Source organism: Homo sapiens, chromosome 10 (genome assembly GCF_000001405.40).
Source record: "Homo sapiens chromosome 10, GRCh38.p14 Primary Assembly".
In the NCBI taxonomy this organism is placed as follows: Eukaryota; Metazoa; Chordata; class Mammalia; order Primates; family Hominidae; genus Homo; species Homo sapiens.
Window position 1 is genome coordinate 92153797 of NC_000010.11, and position 24105 is coordinate 92177901.

Below are 24105 nucleotides of genomic sequence, written 5' to 3' on the forward strand. Positions count from 1 at the left end.
AAACAAAAATATTGGCATAGCCAACATGTCTACTTATGGACAAGAGTTTCACAGAGACCATAAAAACTCATACTCATGTAAATGAAAAGCACAATATATATTAAATGTGTAGGCAAAAATCCAAAATGACACTACCTGGTAGACTAGTTGTATTTTCTCATTTGCATTGTTAAAAGGACTTTTCATATTCTCCTTACTGCTCTATAACTAAGAAATTCTGCTAAACATCAAAAATACTGGCATAGCCAACATGTCTACTTATGGACAATAGTTTCATGGAGAGCATAAAAACTCATTCTCATGTGAAATGAAAAGCACAGCATATATTAAATGTGTAGGCAAAAGTCTTAAATGACACTACCTGGTAGACTAGTTTCTAACAGGGGTTGCAGTTGTATAGGAGGACACATATTAAAGCTTATCAAAGGCAGAACACTCCCAAAGAAAAATGGTAAGATTCTTTGGTGTGATTCTTATTCCACAAATGAAATCAAGGTTTGTCTACTGGAACAAATTCAAAATAGATATAAATGGGAAATATAATTGGGTATTTTTAAACTATATGTAATTGATATTTATTTTCAATCTTATTCTTTCATGTCATTCTTCTCATTTCTCATTATTACTGCTTCAACTACATTACTAGAAGCACTTGGTTTGCTAAGAGTCTACCTTCAATGTCCTCATCCAAGCCTTGAGCTGATGTTCAAGTTATCCCCTGCTTTCATTACTTTATCATAAAACCCTCTTTCTAAAGCCTGACAATATCTGTGTCCAGGAGTTTCACCGCCTGTTTCAAAAACATTCATTAAGGCAGCATAGATCGTCCTACTACCAGCTTCTCCTCTCCAGCTGGTCCCACAGCATACACTCAGAGATATGTACTCCAAGCCTCTGGTCATGGCAATCTCATCTTTAAGCCTTCTTCTAAGGAGAAACACATACTAGAATGTCTTGCTTCCCATTCCTATTCCATTATCCAAATAGGTCCTGAAATTCTACTCATCCCAGGAAACTTTTCAACACTTATCAGGAGAGGTGTAAAAGTCCACTGGCCAAATTCTTGCTGACAGAACTAAAAACTTTCACATATATTACATTCCCTTTATTTCTGTTCCTAGAAAATTTACCAACATGGCCAGATGTGGTGGCTCATGCCTGTAATCCCAGCACGTTGGGAGATGGGCAGATGGCTTGAGGCCAGGAGTTCAGGACCAGCCTAGCCAATATGGTGAAACCCCATGTCTACTAAAAATACAAAAATTAGCCGGGTATGGCGGTGCATGCTTGTAGTCCCAGCTATTTGGGAGGCTGAGGCAGGAGAATCACTTGAACCCGTGAGGCGGAGGTTGCAGTGAGCCAAGATTATGCCACTGTACTCCAGCCTGGGCGACAAAGTGAGACTCTGTCTCAAAAAAAGAAAAAAGTTTACCAACATGTTTATGTAACACATAGAAAATAAGTTATAACTCCAGTTCTATCCTTAATCATAGGTAGAGGGAAGTAACATACATCAGCAAGCTTAATTTTTATTCTTTTTGGGCAAGTCTAAATGTTAATTAGAGGAAAGGGATCAAACATTAATTTAATCCCTGTTCACATGAAAAAATAAGCATGAGGAAGTCTGCCAATTCATCAGAAGTATACTATGCAGAGTTGGCTCAAATGAATACATCTCAGAGAATAAGTGTTCTAGATATGCGATCTAGACATGCTTCATCCCATATGGTTATATCATTACATTTAAGGAAGATGACTTCTTTTTCAGCTTTGGAAATGAAAGACTTATTGAAAGCATGGACAAAACATTTTCTGTCCGTTCTTTTTTCATTACAGAAAGGCAACATTCAGTCTTTTAGCATTTGCACTTCTCTCTGTCTCTCTTCCTCTCTCTCTCATCATTCTCTTCTTCATTTACACCTATCAAACTGCAGACCAAGAGCAGGGACCAAGTCATTCTAGGAAATATTTAGTGTAGCACCTCATACAAAGAAGATCGTGACTTTTGAGAACAATAAAATCAACCTCACAAATAGATATGGAGAAAGTAAAATGAAAAAAGGATGAGTATTTTTTTCAGAAGCTTAGAAACTATAGGCGACTTTATATTCTTGATGTATAGTATTAATATGCTATTATTTATAAAAATAAGATAATTTTTAAAAATATGATGGCAAACTCTGCTCTGCATAAATGTAGGGTGTTATTTCAAAATAATCCTTATCAATAAGCACTTAATAAGGGCTAACGCTACGTAGGGCCCAGTGTTAGGCACTAGAGACAACTATCCTCAAAGAACTTATCCCAGATGAAGAATCAGGGCATACAGAAAAGGCAGGAAGAATGCAAGACAGCAGAATCAGAGGAAAACACTGTCTGCAAGGCCACTGGAGAAGGCTTCCTGGAAAGGGTAAGGTTTGAACTAGTAAAATAAGGATAGTTCTTAGATACATAGATGAGAGGAAGGGTGACCTGTATGGCCAGAGAGTGGGAAAGCAAATAGATTGGTCAGGGGAAGATGAAGTGGGAAAAATGAAGATAATGATGTTGGTGAAAGAGGCAGAAGCCAGATCATGGGGACCCTGAATTGAGAATGGGGATGACACAAAGCGGTGTTTCAGAAAGATGAAGTTGTAGAAATGGAACAGGAGAAATAAAAATAGCAGAAATGAGAAGGACAAGGCCTGAGAAAACTAGAGGGAAAATCTTGACAAGATCTGGTGACTGATTAGTACGTGAGAAGAGGAAAAGCCAGGCCCTGCTGTCTATTCTCCAGATGGTGTCTATTTTCTACATAAAACAGTCCATTTCCTTTTCTTTCCTGACAGTGATCATTTTTCTAGCAACATGAAACAAGTATGGTACAAAATATGTCTTAATAACATTATTTATAGGCTTTAACTTTTTTAAATTTAAAAATAAGGCAATAAAATTTAATGATATTTATTTCCAAGGATAGAAAATAATCATTTACACAAACGTTTTTACACATGATGATGATGAAAAGCAAAAGGACTGTATGATCCACTGTACATATATATTAGCTTCTGCCAGTAGTCACTCATTCAACAAATATTTGCTGTGAAATAAATGATAAAAGTATTGTTTGGGTAAGCATAGGCAGAAAATATTTTTAATATTTTTTAAAACATAATAAAATACTACGAATTTAGCATCATTATCTTCTCTTCATGACTCAACTACAAAGTCAGAGACAGCCTGATGAATGGTAAACATTAGCAAATAAAGAGCCAAAAGACACAGATTGTGATCTTGACTCTGGCTTTAACTTGGTCACACAGCAAGTAAATTACGACTCCTCCTTCAGCTTCTGCAAATGAGCACCAAAGTAACTTATATTTGTGGAATACTTTTAATTTACATGGATAGCTTTTCACTTCCCTGTTTTTTTAACTAGAACTTTACTAATACTCTGAAGTAGGACAAGACTGGTTTTATTACCTCATAATTTACAGATGAGCATACCAAATCTAAATGATAAGTCAGTGATTACAACCTACGTGTCTGACCCTAAGTCCCATATGCTTTCTACGACATCCGGCTTCTCCTAGCTACTTCGTAAAATTATTTGAAAAAACTACAGATATGGGAAATGCTTTAGAACAGTTACAGCATTACACAAATGAAAGTTGTATTATTTTGTTTGGGTGTGACCAGGAGAGAATGCAAGTTTTATGGGGACTAAAGCCTATTTTGGGGACCCTCTTTAAGCAAAAGAACACAAAAATTACGTAGACTTTGGAAGGGGTCCAAGCAAGTGAGAGGCTCTGAAACTTAAGCTTCATTTACTTCCGGGGTAAATCTGACTCTGAATATAACAGAAAAAAATCACCAGCCAACCTAATAAGATCAAGAATTGCCCTCCAAAACCCAAGTTCTGCCTTCTAAGTTGTATGAAAAGAACACAATGAATACAGGGCAGAAAAATATATATGTTTGGCCTTTATTTCCTCATGTTTATTCACAATAAACCATATAACAAAAAACTTTAAGGAGAAATAGTCTTTGCTATATCTTTTTTATAATTAAAAGAACAAATTACCAACAACAAAAAAATAATTTTAATGAAAGTGATAAATTATTTTGCTAAAATAATTAAGATAGAACATCACACCATATGATAATTATTGTTTTACACACACACAGGTATAAATACACACACACATAAACACACTCATATTTACTCACAATTTGGCAAGCAAAAGATCTCATTTAAAAAAAAAAAATTTACCTCGTCTCCGCCCATAGCTCCTGGCTGCATGTAAACATAGAAGAAAACCATGGGTATTTGTATCAAAATGGTGAATTTAGAAATGAAAAAAAAATTCACACAAAGCTTTTCTATGTATTCTTGGAACTATTCAATTGATATGAAGATACTGTTCAACTTGACTGCAGACACTATATTTTTTTAAAAAACCTTTATGAAGTACAGGCTAAATCACAATCTTAAAAAGAAATTTAACTGGATGTGGCAGCCACTGGAACAGATACAATGGATGTTTCAGAAGTCTTATGAGGGTTTATATTGGAGCCTATTATCTATATCAGACATAGAGTACTTTAAAAAACTGATTTATAAATCTTCATTTGTACTTTATCTTACCACCAGATAAGAAAAAATTATTCATTCTAAATAACTAAAAACTGTACCATGCGGTGGTCACTCTGAATTTCTTACTATACACACATTGCCCCCAAACACACACACACTCTCTCTCTTCATAGATTCCCCTGAAAAATGTATAGAAATTTTATATACAACTAGCTGTTACTTTACAGAATGTGTTTCTGCACAATTTTCAGTAAAGCTTCTCTTACTCTCTCCATTTACTTTCCACTCAGTATTACAGATGGGGGAATGTAATATCTTTTTGATCTATAAAATGAACTGCAAAAGTAAAATGAGACTAAGGCACTGGGTCCACCTCAGGCCATGCTTAATAATACAGTGCTTTAAAGGTTTTCTTCCTCTTTAAAACTCCAGCCCTATAGAATGTATTGTTACATTGTTTAATAGAGCTAGACTGTGGTATCATGTATCACTAAAAGATCCTGTCAAGCGGAATGATTTTCAGAGTGGAAAGTTTCTCAAATTTGAAACCTCAGGTTCTATTTTAAAAAATGATTTAGAGCTTAATCCATTTCTTAAAAGTGTAACAGGCTGGGTGTGGTGGCTCACACCTGTAATCCCAGCACTTTGGGAGGCCAGGGCAGGAGGATCATTTGAGGTCAGGAGTTTGAGACCAGCCTGGCCAACATGGTGAAACCTCATCTCTATTAAAAATACAAAAAATTGGCCGGGCGCGGTGGCTCACACCTGTAATCCCAGCACTTTGAAAGGCTGAGACAGAAGAATTGCTTCAACCTTGGAGGTAGAGGTTGCAGTGAGCTGAGATCACGCCACTGCACTCCAGCCTGGGCGACAGAGCAAGACTCTGTCTCAAAATAAATAAGTAAAAAAATAAATAAAACTGTGAAATGTCACACAACTAGCTTATACTGAAAAAGGAAGATAATTTGGAGTTACATTTACAGTGTATTACATTAAGCATTAAAGAAAACTATTTCTGACTGGGTGCAGTGGCTCACGTTTGTAATCCCAGCACTTTGGGAGGCCAAGGTGGGCAGATCATCTGAGGTCAGGAGTTTGAGACCATCCTGGCCAACATGGTGAAACCCCATCTCTACTAAAAATACAAAAATTAGCCAGGCGTGATGGAGGGCACCTGTAGTCCCAGCTACTCAGGAAACTGAGGCAGGAGAATTGCTTGAACCCAGGAGGTGGAGGTTGCAGTGAGCCGAGATCATGCCACTGCACTCCAGCCTGGGTGACAGAGCGAGACTCCGTCTCAAAAAAAAACAGAAAACAAAAAACAAACAAACAAAAAAACTATTTATTCCATAGGAAAATAATTCAGACTTTTCAGCCGGATAGTTGAAATACCACTAGGCCAATCTCATTTTCTACTACTTTCCACTTTTCCTCAGGCATCAGACTTGCCCTCACTCCACACCTTTAACTTCTTCACTTTCCCACTACTCAAATATTAGAAAGGATTATCCAGCTCAAGCTCTATTTTTTTCCCTGATTCCTCCTGTACTACAAACCTCAATGAAAAAAATCTTTTTTTTTTTTTTCTGAGATGGAGTCTCGTTCACTCTGTCACCCAGGCTGGAGTGCAGTGGCACGATCTCGGCTCATTGCAACCTCCACCTCCCAGGTTCAAGCGATTCTCCTGCGTCAGCCTCCCAAGTAACTAGAATTACAGGTGCTGGTCACCACGCCTGGCTAATTTTTGTATTTTTAGTAGAGATGGAGTTTTGCCATGTTGGCCAGGCTGGTCTCGAATTCCTGACCTCAAGTGATCCCCACCTCGGCCTCCCAAAGTGCTGGGATTACAGGGGTGAGCCACCGCGCCCAGCTGAAAAAAATCTCTTCTGAATTTACATAGCTATTACTGTTTACATAACTTACGAAAGGGGATGCATTCCAAAAACAATTTAAGGGACTTTTATACTGTTTATTATTTGGCACCTTGAATTCCTCTTGTTACAAAAAGTATAATAAATGGTAGGTAGCTTCCTACCTTGATCCCTCCCCCAAATTTGCTTCATCCATAATTATATGGATGGATTAATATAACACTTCAAAAAAGATGAAATAAATTTTGACATCCTATCACTTGTCTCTTTGTCCCTTCTTCCCATCCCCAATGATGTTATGCTGCCTGACAACCCAATGAAAAATCTTTATTGAGAAAGGAAATACTCCATATTTTAAAATTACTTATTTCTCTCCCAAACAACAAATTCATTTTTTTCCCCTTATATCTGATTTCTGGCCAGATACCCAATGAAAACAAATCTGATTGCAATACTAAGGTACAAATGACTAATTGGACATTAACACCCATAAAGGATAAAGGAGAATGTTGTTCACACAAGTCTTCAACCACTAAACATCCAAGTAATATAGATGAAGTTAGTAGATCTAGACAGGCTTAGGGGTGGAGGGCAGCATGTTGAATTGGGGACAGAGGAAGAGTTACAAAAGACCTACCTGGGAGTTTTGTTGGTTTGTTTTTTTGAGACGGGGTCTCACTCTGGCACAAAAGCTGGAGTGCAGTGGCAAGATCTCTGCTCACCGCAACCTCTGCCTCATGGGCTCAAGCGATTCTCCCACCTCAGCCTCCTGAGCAGCTGGGATCACCACACCCAGATAATTTCTGTATCTTTTGTAGAGACAGGGTTTCACCATGTCACCCAAGCTGGTCTCCTGGACTTCAAGGGATCTGCCCACCTTGGCCTCCCAAAGTGCTGGGACTGTAAATTGGTTCATGATGGTTGGGAACTCTGATATCAGAGAGACAGGATGGCATATGGGATAGGTAGCCAATATCAAGTAGTGATCTATCTGAGATGCTTAGATTTTTTTTTGTTTCATTTTGTTTTGGTTTGGCTTTTTTTTGAGACAGAGTTTCGCCCTTGTTGCCCAGGCTGGAGTGCAATGACATGATCTCGGCTCACTGCAACCTCTGCCTCCTGGATTCAACCGATTCTCCTGCCTCAGCCCCTTGACTAGCTGGGATTACAGGTGCCTGCCACCTTGCCCAGCTAATTTTTTGTATTTTTAGTAGAGACACGATTTCACCATGTTGGCCAGGCTGGTCTCGAACTCCTGACCTCAGGTGATCCACCCACGTTGGCCTCCCAAAGTATTGGAATTACAGGCATGAGCCACCGCGCCCAGTGGCTTAGATTTGTTTTTATCATTCATTGTGGAATTTATTATGTACTACCTTGGTCCTGTTATAGTGATTATCATAGCAGCTAATGAGTGCTTCCTATGTGCCGGGAACAGTTCAAAATACTTCACATGTATCGCCCAGGCTGGAGTGCAGTGGCATGATCTTGGTTCACTACAACCTCCACCTCCCGGTACAAGCGATTCTTCTGTCTCAGCCTCCTGAGTAACTAGGACTATAGGCGTGCACCACCACGCCGGCTAATTTTTGTATTTTCAATAGAGATGGGGTTTCATCATATTGGCCAGGCTGGTCTCGAACTCCTGACCTTGTGATCCACCTGCCGTGGCCTCCCAAAGTGCTGGGATTACAGGCATGAGCCACTGCGCCCGGCTGACTCCACATTTTTAAAAAGGGAGTAATGTGACTTATTTCATCTTTCTAATATCCTATCTATGCTAAGATGGATTTATACCAGATATAACAAGATACAATATTCTTTCAAAGGTCTATCTACTCCCTCTAAGAACTTTAATTCTCAATTATCAACTATTACCAGCCTTAGAGATAGAATTCTTTTTTTTTTTAAGAGAAAGAATCTTTTTACTGTTTCATATATATTAAGCAATTTAGAGCCCATACGAATTACCTCTAATTTTTAGAAATCAGAGTAGTGTTACCCTTGGCTAGCGATAGTAACCAGAGAGGAGCCTAAGGGTTTAGTTTGGGGTATTAGTAATGTTTTGGTCTTGATCCAGGTACTAGTTACATGGGTGAGCTCAATTTGTGATACTACATTGAGCAATATATTTATTAAATCATAGATACATATATTATGTATCTATGATTTGTGTACTGTTTGTATTTGAATAGTTAAAAATGAAACATTACAAATATTTTAGATTAGTTCATTGGTTATAAAAATAGTGCAGAAAATCCACAGTGCTAATATTTTTGTAGCTTTTAAATCATAAACCTGAATAATTAAAAATTGAAAAAAATGCTTATTTCCAATCCATCAGAATAAAAATTAAATGGTACATGTATTTTACAGGGGGAAATACAAGAATTATTCCAAAAGTGGATTTGTATGGTCAGTGACAAGTACACTGTCAACAGCACTCTCATGTTAATGGCATGGTACTTTGCTGGGCACATGAGGCAACACTAAAATAGATCATCTGTTATTCCTTATGACTTGGCCTGCACTAAGTTTTAATGGTTGCATTCTTATACATGTGACTCCCCAAGGGAAGGGCATGTTATGCTCTGCTGTTTGTTTTTTAGAGACTTTATATTTTTAGAACCTTTTTAGGTTCACAGCAAAAAAGAAAGACCCAGAGATTTCGTGTACGCCCCCTAGCCCCACACTTGCATAGCTTCCCCAATTATCAACATCCCCCACCATAGTATATTTGTAAAAACTGATGAACCTATTCTGACACATCATAATCATCCAAAGTCTACAGTTTACATTAGGGTTCACTCTTGGTGTACATTCCATGGGTTTTGATGAATGTGTAACATGTATCCACCGTTACAGTATCATATAGAATAGTTTCACTGCCTTAAAAATCCCCTGTGCTCCGCAAGGCACAGTGGCTCACACCTGTAATCCCAGCACTCTGGGAGGCCAAGGCGGGTGGATCACCTGAGGTCAGGAGTTCAAGACCAGACTGGGCAACACGGTGAAACCTTGTCTCTACTAAAAATACAAAATTAGCCGGGCATGGTGGCACATGCCTGTAATCCCAGCTACTCGGGAGGCTGAGGCAGGAGAATCGCTTGAACCCGGGAGGCGGAGGTTGCAGTGAGCCAAGATTGAGCCATTGCACCCCAGCCTGGGCAACAAGAGCAAAAAAAAAAAATTACTTTCCTTGTGATAAAATCAGTTTTTAAGAAACACCTTGCAACTTATTTTTTGAATCACCATTTCAGTAGGCATCATAAAATTATTCAAACATCTAATGTTCCCTTTCAGCTTCCCTTGGAGTATTAGTCATAGAAAAAATTTCACTTAAGATGGGTTAAGACCTTAAAGTTTGAATCAAAATGTCCCCCTTTCCCTCATTAGACTATAAATTCTTAAACAGCAGGAGTGCTGGGGTTTGTCTTTAAATGCTCCTCCTATATCTTTGACTTATAATGGCAGATAAGATACTTTTAACCCAATGTTTGATGTTTGATAGCATTTCTCAAACTAGGCAAGTTATAATTGAAAAGATCAATTTCTCCATGAACAATATGAAAGTAGCAGGTAAAAAAGATGCTTGAAGGGGAAGGATATATATTCATCTGCTACATTCACATTAAGTATTTGTTTTTATTTTTGTTTTTGTTTTGTATACATTAAGCATTTGGATGTCTTAAAACTCCTTCCTTCCCTTCTCTTTTACTCTTACACATTCTTCTCAGAAAAATCTTCTTTCCATTGTATTTGCAAACCTAAAAAGTAATACTAATGACTGATAAGCAAAATACTAGCATTACTGGGATATTTTATAAAGGAGAATGACGATCATAAAGTAAAATAATAACCTACTGATAATTTATCATGTTCCAGGCATATGCTAAGTACTTGTACGTCTTCTAATCCCCAAGGCAGCTATCATTATACACATTTCCAGATGGGCAAACCAAGGTCCAGAGAAGATGACTGGCCCAAAGTTATACAGCTACTAAGCAGCAGAGCTGGGACTGAATCCAGGTTTAGTCTGGCTCTAAAGCACCTACTTTAACTCAAGGTATTATTTACAGTCAATAAAATTTATCCACTTTAAGTATACGATCTGATTAATTTTGATAATTATATATAAACATATAACCACCACCATTCTAATCAAGATATGACAGTTCAACACCTTTGAAAATTTCTTTGTGTGCTTTTGCAGTTGATCCCCTCCCCTAACTCATGGTTCCTGGCAAGCATTAATCTCCCTTCTCGCCATAGTTTTGTTTGCCTTTTCTATGATTTCATATTAATGAAACCAATATGTTTGACTTCCTTCACTTAGCATGTTTTTGAGATTAATTCATGTTGTTACATGTATAAGTATTTTGTTTATTTTTATTGCTGAGTAGTATTTCATAGTATGGACAAACTACAATTTATCCATTCACCAGTCGGTAAACATTTGAAAAACCCTTACTCTTAACCACTAAGTTTGAAGAATCAGTATTTCAAATCTATAAAGACCTTGAAAGTACCCAGAAATTCTCTTCAGAATTTTCACAGCCTCCATTATCCTGTTTTTCAGCAGCACAATCCAAAATTTAAGAAAATAAACTTCTCACCCCAATTTTCTTTTTTAAATTTTATTTCATTATTACTAACACAACACTATTGTTTTCTACTAATTATTACACTTAGAACTGTTAGATTATGAATTAAAATACAGGGATACTTCAGAGATATTACAGCCTTATGGTTCCTAACCACTGTAATACAGCAAATATCACAGTAAAGCAAGTCACACAATTTTTTTATTTCCTAGCGCATACAAGTTATGTTTATATTATACTGTAGTCTATTAAGTGCACAGTAGCATTATGTCTTAAAAAACAATATATATAACTTAATTTAAAAAATACTTTATTGTTGCCTAGCACAGTGGCTCATACCTGTAGCCCCAGCTACTTAAGAGGCTGAGGTGGGAGGACTGTTTGAGGCCAGGAGCTGAGTGCTACAGTGAGCCATGATCATGCCACTGCACTCCAGCCTGGGTGACACAGCAGGACCCTATCTCGAAAAAATTAAAAATAAAATAAAAAACAATACTTTATTGCTAAAAATCTCAACGATCATCTGTGCATTCAGCAAGTTGTCACTTTTTTCTTCTTTTTTTTTTTTTTTTTTGGCTGGTGGAAGGTCTTCCCTCCATGTGGATTGTTGCTAACTGATCAGAGTGGTGGTTGCTGAAGGTTGGGGTGGCTGAGGCAATATCTTAAAAAAAAGAGATCAGTGAAGTTTGCCACATCGATTGACTCTTCTTTTCACAAAATATTTCTCTGTAGCATGCAATGTTTAAGAGCATTTTACCCATAGTAGAATATCTTTCAAAACTGGATTCGATCCTTTCAAACCCTGCAACAGCTTTATCAACTAAATGTATGTAATATTCTAAATACTTTGCTGTCATTTCAACAATGTTCACAGCATCTTCATCAAGTAGACTCTACCTTAAGAAACCACTTTCTTTGCTTGTACATAAGAAGCAATTTTTCATCCATCAGGTTTCATCATGAGATTATAACAATTTGGTCACATCTTTAGACTCCACTTCTAGTTCTCTTGCTATTTACACTGTATCTGCAGTGACTTTCTCTACTGACGTTTTGAACCCCTCAAAGTTGTCCATGAGGAATGGAACTGACCTCTTCAAATTCCTGTCAGTGTTGATATTTTGACCTCGTCCAATGAATCACAAAAGTTCTAAATGGCATCTAAAATAAAGAATCCTTTCTAGAAGGTTTTCAACTTTGCCTAGGTTCATCAGAGGAAGCACAATCTATGGCAAGTATTGCCTTACAAAATGTATTTCTTTTTCTTTTTTTTTTTTTTGAGACAGAGTTTCACTCTGTCGCCCAGGCTAGAGTGCAGTGGCGTGATCTCGGCTCACTGCCACTTCCGTCTCCCGGGTTCAAGTGATTCTCCTGCCTCAGCCTCCCAAGTAGCTGGGATTACAGGCGTGCACCACCATGCACGGCTAATTTTTGTATTTTTAGTAGAGATGAGGTTTCACCATGTTGACCAGGCTGGTCTCAAACTCTCGACCTCAGGTGATCCACCCTCCTCGACCTCCCAAAGTGCTGGGATTACAGGCATGAGCCACCACACCTGGCCTACAAAATGTATTTCTTCAACAAGATGGCTTGGAAGTATAAATTATACCTTGATCCATGGGCTGTAGAATGGATGACGTATTAGCAGTCATGAAAACAACATTACTGTCCGGTTCATCTCCATCAAGTGCACTGTCAATGAACAGTAATATTTTGAAAGGAGTATTTTTCTTCTGAGCAGCAGGTCTCAACAGTGGTTTTAAAATATTCAGTAAACCATGCTGTTAAACAGATGTGCTGTCATACAGGCTTTGTTGTTCTATTTGTGGAGAACAGGCAAAGTAGATTTAGTATAATTCTTAAGGCCCTTAGGATTTTTACAATGGTCAATAAGCATTGGCTTAAACTCAAAGTCACCAGCTGTATTAGCCCCTAACAAGAGAGTCAGCCTATCCTTTGAAGCCAGGCACTGACTTCTCCTCTCTCGTTATGAAAGTCCTAGATGGCATCTTCTTCCAATAGATGGCTGTTTCACCTACACTGAAAATCTGCTGTTTAGGGTAGTCACCTTCACCAACTATCTTAACTAAATCTGGGTAAGTAACTTGCTGTAGTTCTCCATCAGTACTTGTTGCTTCACCTTGCACTTTTATGTTATGGAGACGGCTTTTTCCCTTAAACCTCAGGAACCAATGTTTGCCAGCTTCTAGCTTTTCTTCTGCAGCTTCTTAACCTCTCTTAGCCTTAACAGAATGCAAAAGAGTTAGGGCCTTGCTCTGGACTAGGCTTTGGCATAAGGGAATGTTGTGGCTGGTTTGTTCTTTTACTCAGGCCACTAAAACTTTCTCCACAGCAACAATAAGACTATTTCGCTTTCTTACCATTAGTGTGTTCATTGGAATAACACTTTTAATTTCCTTCAAGAACCTTTCCATTTGCATTCACAACTTGGCTAACTAGCACAAGAGGCCTAGCTTTTAGCCTGTCTCAGCTTTCAACATGCCTTCTTCATTAAGCTTAATCATTTCTAGTTTTTGATTAAAAGTGAGAGGTGTGCAACTCTTTCTTTCACTTGAACATTTTGAGGCCATTTTAGGATTATTAATTGACCTAATTTCAATGTTGTGTCTCAGAAAATGGGAAGGCCCAAGGAGAGGGAGAGAAACAGTAGAATGGCCAGCTGGTGGAGCAGACAGAACACAACATTTATCAATTAAGTTTGTATCTCCTACAAGTGCAGTTCATGGCATCCCAAAACTATTACAATAGTTACATCAAGGTGGGCACAGTGGCTCAGGCCTGTAATCCCAGCACTTTGGGAAGCCGAAGCAGGTGAATCACCTGAGGTCAGGAGTTTGAGACCAGCCTGGCCAACATAGTGAAACACTGTCTCTACTAAAAAATATAAAAATTAGCCAGGTGTGGTGGCGCACACCTGTAGTCCCAGCTACTCGGGAGACTGAGACATGAGAATTGCTTAAACCCGGGAGGCAGAGGTTGCAGTAAGCTGAGACTGCACCACTGCACTCCAGCCTGGGCAGGCAGAGTGAGACTCTGTCTCAAAAAAAATAAAATAAAATAAAATAGTAACATTAAAGATCACTGATCACAAATCACCATAACAGATATAGTAATAACAAAAAAGGTTAAAATATTGTGAGAATTAACAAAACATGATATACAGAAAAAAAGTGAGCATATGCTGTTAGAAAAACAGCACAACTGTTGCCACAAACTTGGAATTTATAAAAAACATAATTCTATGAAGCATGATACAGTGAAGCACAATAAAATGATACATGCCTATAGGTACTTTTGTGGATTGGTCAGAAAATTTAGTTGTTATTAGAAACATAAGAAAATATATCCTGTATTCTCACCAACTGAACTTTTGCAACATTCTGTTTCACTGCTTTCAATATCTTACAGAGAAACCTACAGGTATCTTAAGCAAAACAGGATTTATTTCTGGAGCTAATAGAAAAGTGTTTTTACCTGGTTCTGCTAGAATACCTTAATAAAGATATTATGAGATAAAAAGTATGAGATAAAAGAATAAAGAGGCTTGCTTCAAGTCTCTCAGCCTATTCTAGTGTGTTTTTTTCAAACTTCTTTCTAAATAGCTGATATGGTTTGACTATGTCCCCACCCAAATCTCATCTTGAATTGTAGTTCCCATAATCCCCATGTGCCATAGGAGAAACCCGGTGGGAGGTAATTGAATCATGGGATTGGTTACCCCCATGCTGCTGTTCTCGTGATAGTGAAGTGAGTTCTCACGAGATCTGATGGTTTTATAAGTAGCTTTCCCCTCTTTGCTTGGCACTTCTCTCTCCTGCTGTCATGTGAAGAAGGATGTGTTTGCTTCCCCTTCTGCCATGATTGTAAGTTTCCTGAGGCCTCCTCAGCCATGCAGAGCTGTGAGTCAATTAAACCTCTTGCCCTTTTTTTTTTTTTTTTTTTTTGAGATGGAGTTTTGCTCTTGTTGCCCAGGCTGGAGTGCAATGGTGCGATCTCAGCTCACTGCAACCTCTGCCTCCCAGGTTCAAGCGATTCTCTTGTCTCAGCCTCCCACACAGCTGGGATTACAGGTGCATGCCACTATGCCCAGCTAATTTTTGTATTTTTAGTAGAGATGGGGTTTCATCATATTGGTCAGGCTGGTCTCAAACTCCTCACCTCAGGTGATCCACCTGCCTCAGCCTCCCAAAGTACTGAGATCACAGGCGTGAGCTAACCGTGCCTGGCCTAAACCTCTTTCCTTTATAAATTACTGAGTCTTGAGCAGGTTTTGTTGTTTTTTTTTTTGAGATGGAGTTTTGCTCTTATTGCACAGGCTAGAGTGCAATGGTGCAGTCTCGGCTCACTGCAACCTCCACCTCCCAGGTTCAAGCGATTCTCCTGTCTTGGCCTCCCAAGTAGCTGGGATTACAGATGCCTGCCACCATGCCCAGCTAATTTTTGTATTTTTAGTAAAGACAGGGTTTCGTCATGTTGGCCAAGCTGGTCTCGAGCTCCTGACCTCAGGTGATCCACCCGCCTTGGCCTCCCAAAGTGCTGGGATTACAGGCGTGAGCCACTGCACCTGACCTCAAGCAGTTCTTTATAGCAGTGTGAGAATGGGTGAATACAGTAGCAGAGCCTTCTCTCCCCCAGTAAAGACAATGTATTAAAGCAAGGCTGTTCAAGTTCAAGCATGGCAAGGACCCATGGCCCCAAATGTTGGGTATCCTTCTCCCACAGTGGCACTTAAAGTACCTTCTTGGATGTTGGCATTCCATAGAACACAACTAGAAAACCAAAGATCTGTATATTCCATGGTAGGACCATTCTTATTGTTACAAAGTTCTTTTTTACACTCTCCTGTTGTTCTTACCCACAGACCCCAGCCTAATCCCACTTTTACTGGGGGGCCATTACTTTAGCACCTTTTGGTTTTATCTTTTTTATTCACTCTTTTTAGTCAATTCAATATTCTTCGTAAGAAATCATTTTCCATATTCCATATCAGACTGAATATTCTCCTTTGGATAAACCTAATTTCCACTAAGACAATACTAGTCTGTCTAAGCTTCTCATGAAGCATCCAAAGCCCTTCATTATTTGGCCCCAACCATCTTTCAGATCCTCATTCTCACTATTCCATATAACAGACCCATACATTCCAGTAATCCCAATTCAACCTACTCTTCCAGTATTATCATTACAAGTAAGCACCTATTCAGAGAGAATAAAAATCTTGATACCTGCATGCCTTGACATCTAGTCTCTTCTACTCCCTAGGAAACCCCTAGTCCACATTGTCCATTTCCTCTATTATTCTTCTTCCTGTCTTGTACAAAATGCAAGCTCAAGGATTTGCTATACCACATTTCAGTGTCCCCACATACTTAGTATTAATTTACTTTCTAAATTACATTTAACATATAAGATACTAATACAACTTCTCAATATATAACATGTTATCAAAGTAATCACTCTAGAATTTCCAAGTTCATTTCCTAAATTCCTCATCAAAACAGAAAAAGATAATTAAAAATGTATATATCAGGCAAGACATCTCTGGAAACAAACCTCGGTAAAGAATTCCTCTGCATAATACTGCTATACCTTACTGGAGAGAGTGGGCATCCACACCCACTTACATCAGGTGATGTTTATGCACCCTCATACTTGTGACCTGACAGCATTCCACTAAGAATAATTAATAACCACCTTGCTTTTATTTCAGTAGCACATTGCTAAATGAAACAATAACTGATGAAAGAAAGAGAAAAGAAGGAAGGAAAAAAAGAGAAAGATGGAGAATGAAAGGAAGGAAGGGAGGGAGGGAGAGAGGAAGAAAGAGAGGGTGGGAAGGAGGAAGAGAGAGAAAGAAAGAAGAAAGTTCTAAGAATTGTAATCACATAACAGAGTATTTTGTATTTTATACTGATCAATCTGTCCAATTCAGGTCTGAAATTGCTTACTACAGTGGTATACACTCAAATATCTGGCATCTGTTTTCAACAAACCATCTTCTTTGAACCACCACTATGCCAAAAATCTCATGAGATTTCTACAACTGTATATAAAGACTCAATTCCTACACTGTTCAGGACAGCCAATACTTGCTAGTTCTACATTTCTGAACTCCCAAATAACATAAGGAATAATACAGAAAGAAGAGAAGGTAAACAAAATGGGTGCTGGTGTGTTCAGGAGCCTAAGCTGAACCAAAGGCTGGGCCCGTTGGTCAGTGTTGTCTTCTCTCTATCAACAAGGCTCCTCTCATGTGGGAAGGAGAGTTCCTTCACAGAAGAAAGTTATGACAAGGAATTGACCTGGACATTTCGGAAGGGCTGCAGTAGCATGGAGAAGCTGCTCATTCATATCAGCCCTGCCCTGATCCTTCAAAAACACCTTCCTCTTCTGATCTGGACTTGGGAAAACTTCAGGGAACAATAAAAGCAGACCAAGTCTTGAGGGAAAAGAAAGAACACTACGATATGCACAGCATAGTCCCGATACTACTTGATTCGTTCATCCTCAAATAAAGATAGACACACATCTAATTTTGGTCCTTTCCGTATCCCTTGCCCACCCTCCACCCCCAACCAGATTTCACCCTACGCCAATGAAATTACAGTCTCTCAGACATGGGTGTTTTCTATTTTGGCTCCTGTTTTGATTGTATAACTAGAGTTGAGAATTAGTGTGAACTCAAAAGGAAACAAAGGAAGGGGGGTAGAATAGGGAAGAAACAAAGACTAACATTTGTTTGGTATGTACTCCTTTTTTTTCCCCAGAGAGAGTCTCACTCTGTTGCCCAGGCTGGACTGCAGTGGTGTGATCTCGGCTCACTGCAACCTCCTCCTCCTGGGTTCAAGCGATTCTCCTGCCTCAGCCTCCCAAGTAGCTGGGATTACAGGAATGCACCACCATGCCTGACTAATTTTTGTATTTTTACTAGAGATGGGGTTTCACCATGGTGGCCAGGCTGGTCTTGAACTCCTGACCTCAGGTGATCCACCCGCCTCAGCCTCCCAAAGTGCTGGGAAGTACAGGCGTGAGCCACCGCACCCAGCCTTGGTGTATATTTCTTGCCAGATATGGTATTAGGAGCACTACACAACCTTACCATTTGTAAAGAGGGGTTAAAGTGTCCATTTAAAATAAAAGACACAGGCTCGGTGCAGTAGCTCACATTTGTAATCACAGCACTTTGAGAGGCCAAGGCAGGAGGATCCTATGAGCCTAGGAGTTCAACACCAGCCTAGGCAATATAACAAGACCCTGTCTCTACAAAAAAATTTTAAAAATAAAATAAAAAATAAAAGACACAGGTAACTTGCCACAAGGTCACATGGCAAATAAGTGATGGATTTGGGGTTTAAACTCAGATCTGTCTGCCTCCCTACCTCAAACTGCACTGTTTCTACTATATTCAGCTGAAAAAACAAGACAACAACAACAAAAAAAACACAAAACTTTATTCATATAACAAGAGTGTATGTGTGTGGAGGGTAATGAAGAAAAGAAGGCATTTAAAATTCCTGCTGCTATTGAAGGAGACTATGTTCTGAAAGTAACACTGAACATGTGTGGAAGTATACTGACTCTCCACAATCAATAAAGTATCATTTATTTAATAGTTATAAAGGAGTTAAATGAAACCCAAGTGACCTTTTGGGAAAATCCAAAAGAGTAAAAATCACACGGGATTAGGAACTGGTTGGCAGAATAATCTGTGTGTCTAAACCTTATACAGCTATTTGCTGGCTGTATGACATTAGCAACATGCTGACATGCAATTTACCCATGTAACAAACCTGCATATGTACCCCCTGAACCTAAAAGTTGAAAGGGGGAAAAAAACTGCATTTCAGTTTCACACACTACTCTATCATATGGCCATGTTTTGTCTGGATAAGAAAATAGTCCTGGGGTAAAGTTGGTGCTCAAGAAAAGTGGATTTTTTTCCATGTTCTGGAAAAACCATAGTAAGCATTACAAAAGCACAGAGGTCTGTGAGACCACTTCGTAAACTGCTCATTGCTAGATCTATATGTGTTATAACCATCTTTCAAAAGGAAGAATTAAAGCACATCTTTTAGGAAGAAATTAAGGTGGACTGGATATTCTCTAAGACTGTTAGACTGTGCTTTTCACAGTCACACTGAGATGTTTTCCCAGTCCTCCTTCTCTCTCTTCTGATCACCCATATTGAGTGCGTATTCAACAGGCCAGGCATTATACTTCAAGCCAGGGACCAACTGTGAATAAAAGCTAGTCTCTGCCCTCTTGAAACATACACATTAAAGAAAAACACCAACATTAAATAGTTAATTACAAGTGGGGTGAATGCTGTAAATGTGAAGTCCAGTTTCCACTGCCTATACAAGTGGAGAAAACAGGGAAGTCCACCGGGAAGAGTAAGTAAATTTTCAGTTTTCTGCATCTTCCTTATTTGGTTAGAACTACCCAATACTGTCACTTTAGACACATTCACAAATACAAAGAACTTCTTCCAAAATGCAATAAAGTCAGTCAAGAACATTTCAGACTTCACTTATTGACAATATTCAATATCAGGCCATGTAAACTAGGTTTACCATTCTATTTTTCAGGAAAAGAGAATTTACTAAGCATTCAGAGCATAAACAAGGTGACAAATAATAATAATAGAGAAACTATTTTCCCAAAGACACCGAATTTGCATGTTTGTGTTAAGGTAGTAAATAATAATAATAATAATGTAACTACTCTTAACAATTAAGTTTCTAAAGCAAAAGGTACCACCCTCAACCAGGAGGCAAGAGGCTCTGCTCCTAGCTCCATATCACCCTGGCCAATTCTTACAGCCTTTTGAATCTCAGCTTTCCAGTCTGTAAAATGAGAAAGTCAAAACAAAACCATCTCTTAGGTCCCTTACCATGTTCATGTGCAGCATCCAACTAGAATGGTTTGAAATTTGAGTACTTGGAAGTCATGGAACATTACTTATTCTTCTAATTTTTTCATTTCTAAATTAGCCATCCTTTACAATGTATTCATAGCACAACCATATATTAGTTTTATTTCTAAACCTGTTCAGATAGAAACCTGTTCAGACAGAAAGAGAAAATCTGAATCTTGTCTTCAAAAAGTTAAAAATTCTCAGACAAAATGTCTTTAATCTGAGAATCTCAAGATAATTCCTTTACTATACTTTTTTATGCTACCAAGAAATTATTTACTTATATCCACTCACAGTGAACAGAAACAACAATGTGTTCTTCAAATTTTGGAAAATGCCATTTGGAATTCTAGCAAAGCTGGCTTTATTCCCATTCTGGCATCAGGTGCTCAGCTCCCTCTCTGCCACTTCCTCTCAGCTGAGCCTCTCCCCAAGGAGTTCACTCCCAGCAGAGGATAAAAGGGAGGGGGAAGAGGAGGCTCTGCAGCCACACAGGGGTCTCTGCCCAACACAAATGTTCATGTCAATGCCCTTTCACATTGCCTCTTTTGATTCCACAAATGCACTGGCAGCCCTCAGTTCAAATAGAAATATAAGCAAAACCTTCTAAAATGTTTTCAAGGCATTAATAAGAGGAAAATGTAGAAAACAGAATAACCTAAAGTTCCAAGTTTCTTGGTGTATCAGCTATGTATACATTGTTTAACAATCAATGACCTCAGAGCTTCTAAAGAGGTGAGTGTCTTTTTTTGGCTTAAGATATCAAAATGTTTATATATCAATTCATGAGATACAGAAAAAATAAAGAAGAAAGATATCAAAAGTTTAAGTCTTCAAACTACTTAGGTTTTATTCTAGGAATCTTCAATTTTGCAAAGTTACAAACTTTGATAAGGAAGAGTGAGGGTAAACAATCATCTTTCCTTGTCAGAAGGGAAGTGGTACTTCAGAATTCTAATTTATCTCCTTATAACTTGTAACAGACTCTAATTACATCAAAGATCTCGGAAAAGGAATGGCAGGAAAACTTTTAATTTAAACAATATTGAATCTCTGTTATATTACAAAGCTATGATCTTCAAAAAAAGAAAAATTAACTCTTTAGAAGTATCTTCTCTGGGTAAGACTATGCTTCCTACTTCCCAAATGTAGCAGTAATAATACCCTATTTGTACGTGTGCCTTACTTCATCTGAATCTCACAAAAACAATGAGGTAGAGTAAATATCCTAACTGCCCACTTACAGGTTTTCAAGCAAAGGCTTAAGGAGATTCAGAAACTTGCTCAACTAGATGCCATCATTACACATGACTTCTCCAAGATCTAAGCCCTCAATTTTGTCCTCTGAAAAAAGAAGACAATGTTACTACAAAAATTCCTTTCTTGAAGTTGTGGTATTTTGTCACAATAGATTAGTTTACATTTTCCAGAATTTTATATTAACAGGATCATCTAGTATGTATTCTTTTGTTAGCTTTTTAACTTAGCATAATTATTTTGACAGTCATTTATGTTGCTGCATGTATTAATAGTTCATTCCTATTTATTTGCCGAGTAGTATTCCATTGTATGGATGTACCACAATTTGTTTATCCACAATGCTGCTTTGAATATTCGCACATATGTCTTTGTGTGGACATACGTTTTCATTTTTTCTCTTGGGTAAATTCCCAGGAGAACTCCCGCATCATATGATAGTTGTATGTTTAACTTTGCAAGAAACTGTCAAATTGTTTTCCAAAGTGGCCGTATCATTTTATTAATACATTCCAAACAGCAGCGTGTGACACTTTTTAAAGTGCCAACATCACAAGATATTTAACAACTGAGAAAGGCCAGTAGGATCCAAAGACAGTGCACATTTGCATGTTCCAAAGTCAAGTAATAGAAAGTATTTCATCCAGAGAAAAAGATTCACACAAAAACAAATGGAACCACATCTCAATACAGCTATGCTAGCTTATGTGATGACTTACAGGTGTGCTGTCTTCAATTCCATCAGGAAAGCACCTATCTAAACGTGGCCGGGTGTGGTGGCTCACAGCTGTAATCCTAGCACTTTGAGAGGCCATGGCAGACGGATTGCCTGAGCTCAAGAGTTCGAGACCAGCCTGGGCAACATGGCAAAACCCCATCTCTACTAAAAATACAAAAAATTAGCCAGGCATAGTGGCGTGTGCCTGTAGTCCCAGCTACTCGGGAGGCAGATTCAGGAGAATCGCTTGAGCCCAAGAGGCAGAGGTTGCAATGAGCCGAGATTACACCACTGTACTCCAGCCTAGGCAACAGAGTGAGATTCTGTCTCCAAATAAGTAAATAAATGTAACCAAATGACTTACAGGTGTGCTGTCTTAAATTCTATCAGGAAAGCATCTACCTAAATGTAAACAATGTGAGATAAACTTATATTTTTGAAACTAATATGTAAAGAAAGAAAGATCTTTAAAGGTAATAATAAGCCTGTTGCAAACATTCACAATAGCAGCTCATATGAGCATTATCTACAAATCAGGCACTATGCTAAGCTTTATAAAAATATATATATAACCACTTTCCTGATTGCTATCTCCATTTTACAGGTGAAGAAATCGAGGCAAAGAGGAGTTAAGAATGTGGCCTCAAGGCCATATAGCTTGTAAAGAGGGAATGGGATCTACCTAACTCCAGATGATGCCTTTGGCTTTGCTAATTCATTGCTGCATCTTCAAGTTTCACATGCCTTCCAGCCTGCTTCAAAGACATCTTCCTAGAACTGAATGATACTATTCCTTAAGAAACACTATTCCCAGTTTCTGCTTTTGTACCTATCAAGCAACTTTCCGATATTTATCTGTTTTCCCAAGCCCATTTTCTACTTGGAAAAAGAGGAACTGACCAGTCAAATGGAGTAAAGACCAGGCATGCTGATTTTGAACATTAATTTGAACATAAATTTGGTTTATGTGATGAATCATGGAGGCACCAGTATCCTTTTCTAAGGATCAGCATAATAGAGGAAAAGTCACCAAGTTAGGCATCAATCCTACACAAGACCACGAATGCTAAACCAACTCTACACCTAGAACAAACTTGTCGAACCTGCGTCCCGCAAGCCACATGTGGCCCAAGACGGCTTTGAATGTGGCCCAAACAAATCTGTAAACTTTCTTAAAACATTATGAGATTTGTTTTAAGACAAATTTAAAACAATATGAGTTAGTGTATTTTATTTGTGGCCCAGGACAATTATTCTTCCAATGTGGCCCAGGGAAGCCACAAGGTTGGACATCCCTGACCTAGAATGTAAAAAAGAAAAAGAAAAAGGAAACACAAGCTACTATTAGTATTAGAAAAATACGGATGGTAGAACTACTACCACATATGTAGCTAGAAGAACTCTTAGCAGCCTCCTTCTCCAATGGGAAAAATTAAAATACATTATGCAAACGTCGAGTGTTTTTGTTTAAAAGTAAGGAAGATTAAAATAAAATGGGCAGAATTATTAAACAGTTAGGAAAAAATATATTACCTGATTAAGTAGAAGGGGTATATTGCCTCAGAACTAACTTTATTTTGGAAATATTGGACAAGTGGCAGGTCTTACTGATGGATTGGAGTTTCTTCCCCCTACCTCCCCTTCTATATTCTGTAATACTTGAGGACCTAATATTTTGAGAAAGGCCAAAATTTGGAATGTGCCTCTTGGGTTCCTCCATAAAGGCTGGCCTGCCAATTCTTACTATTAATAGATTCATGGTCTTGAACAGGAAAAATCAGTAGACTCTTTGGTTTACACAAACCTCGCCAATTTTTCCACACCCTAAATGTCTGAAGGTTTACTGGTAACTCTTATTTGTCTTCCATAGTGGTATCCTATCTTTGTCTTCTAAGCTTCATTTTCTGTCTTCTAGATTATGTCAGCAGTGGTGATTCTTGGAGGAAGGTATAACTGGAGGGCATGCACTAGGAACACCAAAAAATGGGAACTTGGCCAATTCAAAGCTGGAAAGTAGTACTGAGAAGAATGTATATTATGACATCTATCTTTCCCATAAAGTCAGGAGAACTGAGGCCATATCTTTAGGAGACAGGTTTTGGTGAGGTCAAGAAAGTAAAAAAAGGATGGAAGATTTTTTG

The 24105-nt window shown here is 38.4% G+C and overlaps 1 protein-coding gene across 26 annotated transcripts in view; it reads right to left on the bottom strand.

The window, feature by feature from the left end:
* The window catches only part of CPEB3 (cytoplasmic polyadenylation element binding protein 3), a 244542-nt gene that overhangs the window by 107105 nt on the left and 113332 nt on the right, over positions 1–24105 (bottom strand). For 9 of the 26 annotated variants that reach the window (XM_024447895.2, XM_011539515.3, XM_006717715.4 and 6 more), the window contains one exon: positions 4253–4276. The exons of 16 other annotated variants lie outside the window; for them this stretch is intronic. In XM_024447895.2, the coding sequence (XP_024303663.1) occupies positions 4253–4276 (24 nt within the window). Of the gene's footprint in view, positions 1–4252; positions 4277–12660; positions 12823–24105 lie in introns of those variants that run through there. One more of the 26 variants, XM_017015927.2, reaches the window with a different exon arrangement.